Below are 15,390 nucleotides of genomic sequence, written 5' to 3' on the forward strand. Positions count from 1 at the left end.
CATTTCTTTTTTTTTTTTTTTTTTTTTTTTTTTTTGAGACGGAGTCTCGCTCTGTCGCCCAGGCCGGACTGCGGACTGCAGTGGCGCAATCTCGGCTCACTGCAAGCTCCGCTTCCCGGGTTCAAGCAATTCTCATGCCTCAGCCTCCCGAGTAGCTGGGACTGCAGGCGCCTGCCACCATGCCTGGCTAATTTTTGTATTTTTAGTAGAGACGGGGTTTCACCATGTTGGCCAGGATGGTCTCGATCTCCTGACCTCAAGTGATCCACCCACCTCGGCCTCCCAAACTATTGGGATTACAGGTGTGAGCCACCACGCCTGGCCAGTAAATTTTCAAACTAAAAACTTCTTAATTCCTTGTTTCCTTTTGGTTGATTTCCATAGCCCTGAAATTGTTTTTCACAATGTTGCCCAGTTTTGTGGTGAGAATTTGTCAACCTCTTCACTCTGCAATAGCCAACAGTCCCACCCTATATGTACTTTATAAATGCAACCGCACAGTATATCCTGTTTTCTACACTAAAAAAGTCTATATATTCTAGATTTTGTTTGATTTACAGATTTGATAACTGGGCTTTTTTTTTTTTTTTTTTTTTTTTTTTTGAGACGGAGTCTCACTCTGTCACCTGGGCTAGAATGCAGTGACTCGATCTTGGCTCACTGCAACCTCCACCTCCCAGCTTCAAGCGATTCTCCTGCCTCAGCCTCCCGAGTAGGTGGGATTACAGGCGCCTGCCACTATGCCCAGCTAATTTTTTGTATTTTTAGTAGAGACTGGGTTTCCCCATGTTGGCCAGGTTGATCTCGAATTCCTGACCTCGTGATTCGCCTGCTTCAGCCTCCCAAAGTGCTAGGATTACAGGCATGAGCCACCACGCCCAGCTGATAACTAGGCTTTTTTTAGTTGATTTTCTAAATTCTCACATTAAACTTTTGGGATCATTACCTCCTATTAAATAAAATTTATAGGAGGCCACTGATTTGGACTAGGTTCCTGCACTAGACCCCATCAGACCAAACCAAAATGGAGTCACTCATGCTAAAGTTTCATATCACCAAACTGAAACTAAGTTGTTTATCTAACCTTCCAGATAAATCAGGGGAGAGATAATAGCCAAATCCTCGAACAGGCCAGTTTTAGCCAGCATAACAAGGAAATCCCCCCCCCAGCTTTAACCCTTTCAAGGAAAACAACTTTGAAATGATCACTCCATCTTTTATTCTTTGATTCTGCATTCTTCAGCCTTTTCTTGTCTATAAATACTCACTGGCCACATTGCAGAGCAGAGCTCTCTGAATCTCTTCAGGTTGTGAGAGCTACCTGATTCTTGAATTATTATTTGCTCAAATAAACTCTGTTAAATTTATTTTGTCTAAGGTTTTATTTTATTAGATGTATGGTCAAAAGCAATGGTTCAAAGGAGATCCACATTGATGAACTCCAGGATTAACAAGCAAACAGACTGGCTACTCTGCTGAGTTACTTGTGCTCACTGCTTCTCTTTGCACATTTGGAGGGTGTCACTGGTAAGTCCCCCTTGGATATGAGCTCCATTATTTGTGTCCAATTTTATATGAACAGTTTTGATCCAGACTATCTGTGGAAGTCACAAGAGAAACTGGATTAGGTTCTATAAGAAGGCTTTAGGTATCCGACTAAGTTAGACAAAAACCGAACCGGGTTTAGTAAAAGACCTCTAGTAGGAAAGGTTTCAGGAAGACAGAAAATAATGAGTTCATTTAAATTCAGGGAGTCTGGGACTCTGTTGGGGCAAGAGAAAAGTTCTCTTTGGCCCCTGAAGATTTGCTGAAAAATCAACTCACAGAAGATAGAGTAATTGGATAAAAGGCAAACAAATTTATTCAACAGGTATACATGGGAGCCTTCAGAATGAAGACTCAAAGATACAAGGGAAATTTCTGTTGACCAAGAATTCAAGTGAAGTTTTATGCTTAGGTTCAACAAAGTAGGAACAGCTATGTAGAAACATGATTGGACAGAAAGGGTATGATCTGATGCTAATAGACTGAGCGGGGAAACCCAGCACGGCCCGTCTAGATTCCTGTTGGCCTCTCTGAGCACGCATTCCTGCCTCTGGGTGTGGGGCAGGACCCCCTCTGGATTGAGGGTCTCATGACCTACAGTCAAACAAGATGGATCAGATCATTTCTTTACAGCCAGTTTTTACACAGAAAGGTGGAGGGAAAGGCAGAGTAATATGTTTTGTTTTCACAGCTGGCTTTGAAGAAAAGGGGTTCTGGTTTCTATGACCTGCCTTGGGGAAGAGTGATTCTAGTTTTTATAGCTACCCTTGGGGGAGAAAAGGACTGAAGCAAGAGGGGAGAAAAAGTTCAGAAGAAAACTTTCGTTTCTGAGGCTGCTTCTGCTGCCTTCATTTTGGGGTATTGTTTTCTGAGCCCCAACATGTGTATTTATGTATGTCTGTTTATATGTTATGTATATCATATTTTCCTACCTCAGATACTATTTCCAAATTAATTTATAAAATCTCTTAAAGAAGATCCATTTGATTGGCTTAAAGGAAAAGATGTACTCTTATGAATTAAGGATTCCTTAAACTCTTTGGAAGTTCAGAAACTAACCCAAATGCTTTCAGAGTTTACATGACTTTGGTAAATAAGATTTGTTTAATATTGTTGATTTTTCTAAGATAATTGTTGTAAAAATAAAGAGAATTTTTAAAAATATTTTTGGGTTAATGATAAACAGCTGTGTCTCCTCTCCTGACTTACATGTAAAAAAACATGCATGTAACTTTTAGTTTCTTGCTTTGATGATAACTGCCTAATATGCACATGCTGTAAAAATAGTTAACAGGGAAATGACTTAAGATAATGGCTAGTTTTTGTTTGTTTGTTTCTGAGACAGAGTCTTGCTCTGTTGCCCAGGCTGGCATGCATTGGTACCATCTCAGCTCACTGCAACCTCCGGCTCCCTGGTTCAAGAGATTCTCCTGCCTCCGCCTCCTGAGTGACTAGGACTATAAGCGCATGCCACCATGCCCGACTAATTTTTGTATTTTTAGTAGACATGGGGTTCCATCATGTTGGCCAGGCTGGTCTCAAACTCCTGACCTCAAGTGATCCACCTGCCTCACCCTCCCAAAGTGCTGGATTACAGGTGTGAGCCACCACACCCAGCCTGATAATGACTAGTTTTGTTTAATGTCTTGTGAAAATTTTCATGAGCAATTCAAGCATAACTGTTAAGAATAAGGGAATTAGGTGAATGTAAGTGAGATAAAAGTTTATAAGTAAACTTTTCATAGTTTCAAAATTCTCTTTGGTAGCTCAAAAGCTTTAAAGTTATGGTAAGTTAATTAGGTAATAGGTATTCATTAAATGCCTGGGTCATTTCTAATTAAGTTTAAATAGGCCAGGCACAGTGGCTCACACCTGTAATCCCATTAATTTAGGAGGCCAAGGCAGGCAGATCACTTGAGGCCAGGAGTTCAAGACCAGCCTGGCCAACATGGTGAAACCCCATCTCTACTAAAAATACAAATATTAGCAGGGCGTGGTGGTGCATGCCTGCAATCCCAGCTACTTGGGAGGCTGGGGCACAAGAATTGTTTTAGCCTGGGAGGTGGAAATTGCAGTGAGCCAAGATCACACCACTGCACTCCAGCCTGGATGAAAGAGCAAGACTCAGTCTCAAAAAAAAAAAAAAAGTTAAAATACTGAAGCATTAATGACTAAATGTTAGTTTATGTTTAAATATGGGGAGAAAAGAACCAAGTTGGGAAACATACTTCAGGATATCATCCAGGGGAAGTTCCCCAACCTAACAAGACAGGCCAACATTCAAATTCAGGAAATCCAGAAAACCCCAGTAAGATATTCCATGAGAAGATCAACCCCAAGACATATAATCATCAGATCCTCCAAGGTCAAAACAAAGGAAAAAAATGTTGAGGGCAGCCAGAGAGAAAGGCTGGGTCACCCACAAAGAGAAACCCATCAGACTAACAGCAGACCTCTCAGCAGAAACCCTACAAGCCAGAAGAGATTGGGGGTCAATATTCAACATTCTTAAAGAAAATAATTTCCAACCCAGAATTTCATATCTGGCCAAACTAAGTTTCATAGGCAGAGAAGAAATAAAATCCTTTTCAGACAAGCAAATGCTGAGGGAATTCATCACCACCAGGCCTGCCTTGCAAGAACTCCTGAAGGAAGCACTAAATATGGAAAGGAAAAACTGTTACCAGCCACTGCAAAAACACGCTGAAGTGCAAAGACCAATGACACTATGAAGCAACTACATCAACAAGTCTGCAAAATAACCAGCCAGCATCATGATGACAGGATCAAATTCACACATAACAATATTAACCTTAAATGTAAATAGGCCAAATGTCCCAGTAAAAAGACACAGAATGGCAAGCTGGATAGAGTCAAGACCCATTGGTGTGCTATATTCGAGATCCATCTCAGTGCAGACACGCATAGGCTCATTATAAAGGGATGGAGGAAAATTTGCCAAGCAAATGGAAAGCAGAAAAACGCAGGGGTTGCAATCCTAGTTTCTGGCAAAACAGACTTTAAACCAACACAAATCAAAAAAGACAAAAAAGGGCATTACATAGTGGTAAAGGGTTCAATTCACAGGAGGAGCTATCTTAAAAATATATGCACCCAATACAGGAGCACCCAGATTCATAAAACAAGTTTTTAGAGACCAACAAAGAGACTTAGACTCCCACACAATAATAGTGGGAGACTTTAACACACCACTGTCAATATTAGACAGATCATTGAAACAGAAAAGTAACGAGGATATTCACGACTTGAACTCAGCTCTGGATCAAGTGGACCTTGATAGATATCTACAGAACTCTCCACCCAAAAATAACAGAATATACATTCTTCTCAGCAACACATGGGACTTACTCTAAAACTGGTCACATACTTGGAAGTAAAACACTCCTCAACAAATGCAAAAGAACTGAAATCATAACAAACAAACAGGCTCTCAGACCACAGAGCAATCAAATTAGAACTCAAGATTAAGAAACTCACTCAAAACCATACAACTACACAGAAATTGAACAACCTGCTCCTGAATGACTCCTGAGTAAATGATGAAATTAAGGCAGAAATCAAGAAGTTCTTTGCAACCAATGAGAACAAAGAGACGACATACCAGAATCTCTGGGATGCAGCTAAAGCAGTGTTAAGAGGGAAACTTACAGCACTAAGTGCCCACATCAAAAGGCTAGAAAGATCTCACTTTCTAGCTTTTGTTAGAGAATTGACACCCTAACATCACAACTAAAATAACTAGAGAACCAAGAGCAAACCCCAAAGCTTGCAGAAGACAAGAAATAACCAAAATCAGAGCAGAACTGAAAGAAATAGAGATATGAAAAACCCTTCAAAAAAAATCAGTGAATCCAGGAGCTGGTTATTTGAAAAAAATAAAATAGATAGTCCACTAGCTAGACTAATGAAGAAAAGAGAGGAGAATCAAATAGACACAATAAAAAATGAGAAAGGGGATATCACCACTGACCCCACAGAAATACAAACAATATTATAAACACCTTTATGCAAATAAACTAGAAAATCTGGAATAAATGGATAAATTCCTGGACACATACACCCTCCCAAGACTGAACCAGGAAGACAATGAATCCCTGAATAGACCAATAGCAAGTTCTGAAACTGAGGCAGTAATAACTAGCCTACCAACGAAAAAAGGCCCAGGACCAGATGGATTTACAGCTGAATTCTACCAAAGGTAAAAAGAGGAGCTGGTACCATTCCTTCTGAAACTATTCCAAACAATTGAAAAGGAGGGACTTCTCCCTAATCCATTTTATGAAGCCAGCATCATTCTGATACCAAAACCTGGCAGAGATACAACAAAAAAAAGAAAACTTCAGGCCAATATCCCTGATGCAAAAATCCTCAGTAAAATACTGGCAAACCGAATCCAGTGGCACATCAAAAAGCTTATCCACCATAATCAAGTCGGCTTCATACCTGGGATGCAAAGCTGATTCAACATATGCAAATCAATAAATGTAATTCATCACATAAACAGAACTAAAGACAAAAACCACATGATTATCTCAATAAATGCAGAAAAGGCCTTCAATAAAATTCAACATCCTTTCATGTTAAAAACTCTCAACAGACCTCAAAATAATAAGAGCAATTTATGACAAACCAACAGCCAATGTCATACTGAATAGGCAAAATCTGGAAGCATTCACCTTGAAAAACTACACAAGACAAGGATGCCCTCTCTCAGCACTCCTATTCAACATACTATTGGAAGTACTGCCCAGGGCAATCAGGCAAGAGAAAGAAATAGAGGGTATTCAAAAAGGAAGAGAGGAAGTCAATATATAATATATACATTATATACTATATGTAATTATATATAATATGTAATATAATATGTAATATATATTATAAATTATAATTAATATGTAAATACAAATATTACAAAGACACATGCATGCATATGCTCACTACAGCACTATTCACAATAGCAAATACATGGAATCAATCCAAATGCCCATCAATGATAGACTGGATAAAGAAAATATGGTATATATACACCATGGAATACTGTGCAGCCATAAAAAAGGAACAAGATCATGTCCTTTACAGGGACATGGATGGAGCTGGAAGCCATTATCTTCAGCAAACTATGAAGGAACAGAAAACCAAATATCGCATATTCTCATTTATAAGTGGGAGCTAAACAGTAAGAACACATGGACACATGGAGGGGAACAACACATACTGGGGCCTGTTGGTGGGGAGAGTCGGGGGAAGGAGAGCATCAGGATAAATAGCTAATGCATGCAGGACTTAATACCTAAGTGATGGGTTGATAGGTGCAGCAAACCACCATGGCACACGTTTACCTACTTAACAAACTGGCACGTCCTGCACATGCATCCTGGAACTTAAAATTCAAAAAAATTTTTTTAAGTTTTAGAAGGCTTTTGAAAGAGAAATTTTATATGTGGTCAAGATGGTCAAAATTGAATAAAATTATTTAAGGGTTTTAAAAAAACTGAACCTTATATCAAAAGTACCTTGGTACAAAACTTGAAGCCGGTTTCTCTAAGTTAAAAAAAAAAGTTTTATTGGAAAAACGTTTTCTTAAGTGCTCTGCCTAGAAAACAAAGAATTGATGTTTCATCAAAATGATTTCCTGTGCTTTATGCTGTCTTTTTTTTTTTTTTTTTTTTTTGCATACGTATGAACAGTTTATTTCAGGCATAAGGCATGCACACATATTACAGCTTCATGGAAGTCCACACTACCTCAGATTTATTCAACATTCAACAAGTTTTCTACTGAGCTTCTACATGTGCTGGGCTCCAGTAGACCTCATGAGGAAGGACACAAAATCCTGAGTAGGATATTTTCAGATCCTATGCCTGGGGCCAGACTAGCTACATAAGTGTCCCTCAAGCTTCCGACTAACGTCTGAAACTAGAAGTGATTAAAATGACATAGCTCTTCTCCAGTATTTAACTTTTCTTGTTTAAATAATTATTTATCCATATGAGATAAAATTCACTATTTCACCAACAATTGATAAGGAAAATCTAACATGAACTAGTTTAAGCAAAAGGGGAAATTTTGCAAAAAGTTCACAAGTAAATTTGACTTCTGGCTTGACAGGGTTCAGGAACTTAAATTATGTTCTCAGATCCAAGTGTCTGATATATCAGCTCTGTTGGCTTCTTTCTTAGACTCCACATGTTTAGCAAGATGGCTGCCCACAGTGCAGTTTCTTATATTTTCTTCTATAAATGTTCTGTACCTGACTCTTATTGGCCTATATTGGGTCACAGGCCAGGGGAATGACATCTCTGATTGGCCAGTCTGAGTCACATGTTCATCCCTGGAATCAGGGATAGAGTTAAGTCTAGTTGAAGTACTTAGGGTGGTTCTCCTAGAAGTTCAAATTATTAATAGCATTAACTAAAAGAAAGGAAAATATATACTGCTTAGCCAAAAAAGAGCATATATGTTCACCACATGATACACTTATGTCTCTCAGGAGGTAAAAATTTCTATCTGTAAACAGGGTGCTTCAACAGAAAGAACTAAAAATTTTTTAGTTCTAATGTTAGCTTAACTGCTTTTAGTTTCATGACAGAGTTCTTGTAAGAAGTAAATGAGTATGCAGTGAAAGTATTTCATTAACATCTGAATAATGCTTTATAATTAAATACCATCACCATTACTCGAGAGGCTGAGAATGTATCTGTTGGAGAGGTATCTTTTGAATATCTGAATCTCATCAAAGCCACCCAGTAACAAAGTTTATGAACATAATGAAGAAGTTGTAGAAGATATTTTGTATTGCCCATTTTGTCTTTTATTAGAACTTTTAATTAAGAAAACAGAGCATTCTCAATGTTAAATTTTTTTTTTTCAACTGTGTAACTTTTCTGTATTTGTCTTTAAAATCCTTTGTCATTCTGGTACTGTCCCATAATGATCTGTGATCCTAGTTAATGAAGTGTTTTGATATTTTTGACAAACTTTCCAAACCAAGCCTTTGATATTGATAAAAATCAAACCTTTAACATTGCTATTAATATTGACAAACATTTTGGTATTTTTGACAAACTTTCCAAAATCAAATTCTTAAAATTAAGCCTTTTTTACCCCACATTGACTTTGGAACCTCCCAGGGGCCCTGGAAGGTCTTCTTATAAAAGAGAAATGTTAAGCTAATTAGGCTTAATTGATACATTAAATTTGCAGAATAAACATTGTCAAATAAGCAATCATGATTGAGTGTTTACGTGTTCCAGAAATTATGTGAAATTCCGAGAAGTCTGATATGTCCTGGCATAATGTTATCAGTCATAATTCTGGTTATTATGTTAAAATGTTGTATGTCACAGAAATAATGATTTTACCTGTCAGTTGTGTCATTATCATAATAAACTCTCATTAGATCTTTAACCATGACCTTTTTTTTTTTTTTTTTTCAGATGGAATCTCACTCTCTCGCCCAGGCTGGAGTGCAGTGGCGCCATCTCAGCTCACTGCAGTAGCTGGGACTACAGGCGCCCGCCACCACACTCGGCTAATTTTCTGTATTTTTAGTAGAGACGGGGTTTCACCATGTTAGCCAGGATGGTCTCAATCTCCTGACCTCGTGATCTGCCCGCCTCGGCCCCCAGAGTGCTGGGATTACAGGTGTGAGCCACCGCAACCATGACCATTTTAAGTCTTGTCATCCATAGACAGTAAATTGTTTCACTCTGATGCTCTCCTGAAAGGTTTTGCAAGCAGCTATAATCCTAAAATAGTGTATCTCTAAGGATAAGAACTTCCAGAACTCTAAGTTCTTACACAGTCCAATAGTATATTCCTATGTTACCGGAAACCTGTACTTGTCAGAGTTCTTTCCATAAATTTCCTAGGAATATACTATTGGACTGAGTAAGAACTTCCAGAACTCTAGTGGCCGGGTGTGGTGGCTCATACCTGTCATCCCAGCACTCTGGGAGGCCGAGGCAGGTGAATCACAAGGTCAGGAGTTCGAGATCAGCCTGGCCAACATGGTGAAACCCTGTCTCCACTAAAAATACAAAAAAAAAAATTAGCTGGGCGTGGTGGTGGGCGCCTGTAATCCCAGCTACTTGGGAGGCTGAGGCAGGAGAATCGCTTGAACCCGGGAGGCGGAGGTTGCAGTGAGCCAAGATTGCACCACTGCACTCCAGCCTGGGCAACAGTGTGAGACTCTGTCTCAAAAAAAAAAAAAAAAAAAAAAAAAAAGAACTTCCAGAACTCTTATGAAGAAACAAATTGGTTCATAAGTTGCTAGCCCAACATCAAGCAAAATGAGAATTAATTATGTGGAACTAAATGAACTGATGAAAAAGAATCAGGCTGGGTGCAGTGACTCATGCCTGTAATCCCAGCATTTTGGGAGGCTGAGGCAGGCAGATCACTTGAGCCGAGGAGTTCAAGACCAGCCTGGCCAACACAGCAAAACCCTGTCTCTACTAAAAATACAAAAAATTAGCTGGGAATGCTAGTACATGCCTGTAATCCCAGTTACTCAGGAGGCTGAGGCATAAGAACCACTTAAATCCTGAAGGCGGAGGTTGCAGTGAGCCACGATTGTGCCACTGCACTCCAGCCTGGGTGACAGGGCAAGACTGTCTCAAAAAGAGAGAGAGAGAGAAATAATTCAGTTTTTGTTTTGTTTTGTTTTTGTTTTAGAGACATGTTGCCCAAGCTGGCTCGACTCAAACTCCTCGGCTCAAGCAGTCTTTCCATCTCAGCCTCCTGAGTAGCTGGGACTACAGGCATATGCCACCACATCCAGCAGTAATTTTTTAAAATTATCTTTTGCATATTTGTATTTCAGATTTAAGGGATTTTTAAAATCTATCTATAGTTTACAAGAATTTGGTAAATTATACCTTTGTAACATAATTGAAACAATCCCTTTTTTCTCCCTACTTGATCTCTCCATAATTCAGAAACTGTTAGTGAGAAAGGGTTGTGCTCTGTCGCCCAGGACAGAGTACAGTGCCATCATCATGGCCTCCTGCAGCGTTGACCTCCCAAGCTCAAGTGATCCTCTTACCTCAGCCCCAGGTAGATGGGACTACAGGCATGTAACATGATACCCAGCTGATTTGTTTGTTTTTTGTAGAGACAGGGTCTCACTATGTTGCCCAGGCTGGTCTTGAACTCCTGGGCTCAAGAAATCCTCCCACTGAGTGTAAACTAGTTCAACCATTGTGGAAGACAGTGTGGCAATTCCTCAAAGATCTAGAACTAGAAATACCATTTGACCCAGCCATCCCATTACTGAGTATATACCCAAAGGATTATAAATCATGCTACTATAAAGACACATGCACATGCATGTTTATTGCGGTACTGTTCACAATAGCAAAAACTTGGAACCAACCCAAATGTCCATCAATGATAGACTGGATTAAGAAAATGTGGCACATATACACCATGAAATACTATGTAGCCATAAAAAAGGATGAGTTCATGTCCTTTGCAGGGACATGGATGAAGCTGGAAACCATCATTGTCAGCAAACTATCACAAGGACAGAAAACCAAACACCGCATGTTCTCACTTATAGGTGGGAATTGAACAATGAGAACACATGGACATAGGGAGGGGAATATCACACACCGGGGCCTGTTGTGGGGTGGGGGGCTGGGGGAGGGATAGCATGAGGAGAAATACCTAACGTAAACGATAAGTTGATGAGTGCAGCAAACCAACATGGCACATGTATACCTACCTAACAAACCTGCACATTGTGCACATGTACCCTAGAACTTAAAGTATTATAATAATAATAAATAAATAAAATAAAATAAAAAGAAATCCTCCCACCTCGACCTCCCAAAGTGCTGGGATTATAGGCGTGAGCCACCACACCTGGCTGAATATTCTTATTTTATGACAATATAGTTATCTGCATAAGTTCAATAAGAATTTGTTCTCTTTATAACAGAATACAATTGGAAACATTGGTTATTTTACCAAGGCTTTGGCTGGAGCATCATATTTGAAAATGTGCATAGACTACTGGGTTTTTTAGCCTTATGAAAAGAAGGCCCAGAAACTTTAAATATATTTTAAAGATCTGAAGAAGAGAAGAATTCATCCAAACCTATTGGCATTACAGGTATGATGGCATGAGAGATGAGTCCGTGGCTTGGCTTCCTAGTCTGGAAAGGTGATATAGTTTGGATATTTGTCCCTTCCACACCTTATGTTGAAATATGATCCCCACTGTTGGAGGTGGAGCCTAGTGGGAGGTGTTTGGTTTATGGGAGTGGATCCCTCATGAATGGCTTGATGCCCTCCCTGAAGTAATGCGTGAGTCTCATTCTATTAGTTCATACAAGAGCTGGTTGTTTAAAAGAGCCTGGCGCCTCCTCCTCTCTCTTTTCTCTTGCTCCCTCCCTTGCTATGCGACACATCGGTTCCCCTTGCCTTTCACCATGAATTAAAGCTTCCTGAGGCCCTCACCAGAAGCCAAGCAGATGCTTGCACCATGACTTTTGTATAACCTGCAGAACTGTAAGCCAAATAAACATCTTTTCTGTGTAAATTACCCAGCCTCACGTATTCCTTTAGAGCAATGCAAAACAGACTAGACAAAAGGCTTTTAAAAGTCTAATCTGAGATTCCTGACCAAATGTTTCAGTAAAGTAGGCATAAAAAGAGCTTGTGTGGTCAATCACTATTCTTGTTACACTTGTATAGCTGATCAGCCCATGTTAATGAGATTAGACTTGTTTTGCAGGCTGATTGATCTTCCCATGATTGACTTTGGTGGGGATGGGGATGATTGAGAGAATAATTATGTTTCAGGAGAAAAACTATTGTGCACTCATTATTAGATTCTAGCTCTGTTCATTTTGTAAAGCTTTTACTTGTAAACTGGACTAGATCCTGGATTCTTTTAGTTTCCTTCAATATCTGGTTGTAACTCTTCAAACTAACATTTCCAATTTTCTCCTATCTTTCTGACTTGGAATCACTAAGAACAAAAACTGCCCTTTTCCGGAAGCCCTGCAAGCTGAAGCTGGACAACTTAATCTAGACTTAAAGAGAACTCACCACCACAGCTTACGTATGGACAACTTTTGTGCCTGTTGCTGTGAGCTGCTCAGACATCACTGGAAACATTCAAACTGCAAAAGATGCTTCAAAGTCAGGTATGATGGCTCATGCCTATAGTCCCAGGTACTCAGAATGCTGAGGTGGGACAATCACTTGAGGCCAGAAATTCAAGACCAGCCTGGGTAACATAGTGAAACCCCATATCCAAAAATAATAATAAGAAGAAGAAATAAATAGCTAGGCATGGTGGCATGTGCCTCTAGCCCCAGCTACTCAGAAAGTTGAGGCAGGAGGATCCCTTGAATCTAGAAGTTCAAGACCAGCCTGGGCAACATAACGAGATCCTGTCTCTGAAAAAAAAAGGTTAAAAAATATAAGATGCTTCAAATCCAACATCTGGTAATCTTCTTGACTGATTGCCCTCTGGACTCAGAGACCATGTTTCTAGCCATTAACCTTTGTTTTTACTTTGTCTGTTTTAGTTGGTTTGGTGCATGGGAGCCCTGGCTAAGGGGCATACACCACACTCTTGGTATTATCTTCCTGACAGTCATAATAGTAGTCTCCCTCTCAAAAGGTCTAAAACGTTTGCGTGCAGCATTAGTTGAATGGCAAATGGTCTCTATGTGATTGGAATGATTTTTAAAAATCAAAGAAAAGCATGATATCAAGGTCACCAGGACCTATGAGTGACATGTTGAGGTCAAGAACTGGGAATGATGGTGAATGAGAGTAACACTGGTGCCCTAAGTTTTGGTCACACTCACCTAGGTGATAGCCTGACCAAAATGGGAGACTATTGTTACATAACATTTATAGGAGGCCGTTAATTTGGACTGAGCTCCTGCACTAGGCCCCATCAGACCAAACCAAAATGGAGTCACTCATGCTAAAGTTTCATGTCACCAAACTGAAACAAGAAATCAGGAGAGAAACATAATTAATGCCAAATCTCCAAACTGGCCAGCTTTAGCCAGCATGATAAGGAAGTCCCCTCTGCTTTAACCCTTACGAGGAAAGTAACTTTGAAACAACCAATGCACTTTTTGTTCCTTGTTTCTGCTTTCATCAAGCATTTTCCTGTCTTAAATACTCACTGCCCATGTTATAGAGCGGAGCTCTCTGGACCTCTTCTGGTTGTGAGTGCCACCTGATTCATAAATTGTTCTTCACTCAAATAAACTCTGTTAACTTTATTTTTTCAAAAGCTTTTCACTCCCTGGACCTAGAATCTCTTTAAAAACCTGAAAAAAACTTTAAGCAGTCCTAACAAGACCTAAGGGTGGGAGAAGGTAGTAATAGAGACAGGGAACAACACTGATAAGTTATTTTCAATATTTGAAAGATGCCACATGGAAACTGTACAATTACTAGAGATAAGGTGCTAAGCTAACCATAATGTCCTGTTTCTAAGTTTGGGTTGGAACTACTTCAACTCACTATAAGAATTCTGATAATCGTATGCTGATCAAGGGTTTTTGTTGGTAGTTATAAATAGCCTTCGTTAACAAAAGTGGGAGGGTAAGCCAATCATTACCTAATAAAGCAGTTCATTTCCATCATGGGTGTGGGTCCAAGAGAACAAAGACACAATCACAGGGACCCTCGGAGATAAAGTAGATGGAAACCTCTGATGTGACTGAACCTCCCTGGTACAGAGGAGGGAATGTAAAGCCAGTCAGGTAGGCTAATAGCAAGTTAATAAATAGGATTCAAACCTACATCCATGGACAACTCAACTTACCCTTTAAGCCCACAAACATATTACAGCACAGGGAATACAGCCACTGTCTGTCTACTAAGTCCTGTGACTTAAACAATAGAAAATACAGACCCAGAAACGTCTAACAGAACTTTCTGTAACTGAAGCTGCCTTTGCAAAAATTATAACAGAAAATTATGACAGTGAAAGAGATCTGACCTAACCAATTCCATCTTGCCTTTAATCTCCAAACTGCCCTTGGTCATTCCTGGGTGTGGGGCAAGCTAACTTTGGGAGAAATGTATAGTTTAAATGATAATAGTCCTCAAAACTAAACCACCTTTGTAAAACTAATCGAAGCTCACCAGGTTAGGAGAATGAGAGGGGCCTGAACTCTGCTACCATGTAGGCATAGCTAAATGATTACCAGCCATTATTCCAGAGGTTACAAGATTTGCAGCTTCCCCAATTACTCCTGTAAATAACACCACTGTTGTAGAACCTAAGATTGGCCTTTAGAGATGTCTTTTCAAGCTTTTGCCTTTCTGACCAGATGGACCCACCGGGACCAGCAACTCTTCCGTGGCTCCCACCCAGAAGCCAACTGAGTGCACCAGGACCAGCTTCCACACCCCGATGGTTGCATCCCCAACCAATCAGCAGTACCAATTCCCTAGTCCTCTGTCTGCCAAACTATCCTTGCAAAACCCTAGCTTCCACATTTTCGAGGAGGATGATTTGAGTAATAATAAAACTCCCATCTCCCCTTTAGCCAGTTCTCTGTGTATTAAACTCCTTCTCTTTTGCCATTCCCCTGTCTTGAAAAATCTGCTCTCTCTGGGTAGTAGGCAAGATGAACACATTGAGCAGTTACCTAATGATAAGAATGTTCATATCTGTGCTGCCCAAAGTGGTAGCCAGTAGCCACATGTGGCTGCTGAGTACTTGAAATATGAACAGTGTGGCTGAAGAACTTAGAACTGAGTTTTTAATTTAATTGTAATGGCTAATGTTTGGGACAATGAAGATGGAGATAGACATTTGCATCATTCATAAAATTA

General features: G+C 39.8%; 1 long non-coding RNA gene across 3 annotated transcripts; it reads left to right on the forward strand.

The window, feature by feature from the left end:
• Nucleotides 1-1,421: 1,421 nt before the first annotated feature.
• Nucleotides 1,422-15,100, forward strand: LOC105377941 (uncharacterized). 3 transcript variants are annotated; one of them, XR_942866.3, is made up of 4 exons: nt 1,422-1,527; nt 11,510-11,683; nt 12,550-12,722; nt 14,883-15,100. It is a non-coding gene; the product is annotated as an uncharacterized LOC105377941 (long non-coding RNA). The 3 variants fall into 3 exon arrangements; XR_942865.3 differs by lacking the exon at nt 1,422-1,527 and adding an exon at nt 10,313-10,350; XR_942867.3 differs by lacking the exons at nt 1,422-1,527; nt 11,510-11,683 and adding an exon at nt 11,946-12,081.
• Nucleotides 15,101-15,390: the final 290 nt, after the last annotated feature.

This window comes from Homo sapiens, chromosome 6 (genome assembly GCF_000001405.40).
Source record: "Homo sapiens chromosome 6, GRCh38.p14 Primary Assembly".
Taxonomy (NCBI): domain Eukaryota; kingdom Metazoa; phylum Chordata; class Mammalia; order Primates; family Hominidae; genus Homo; species Homo sapiens.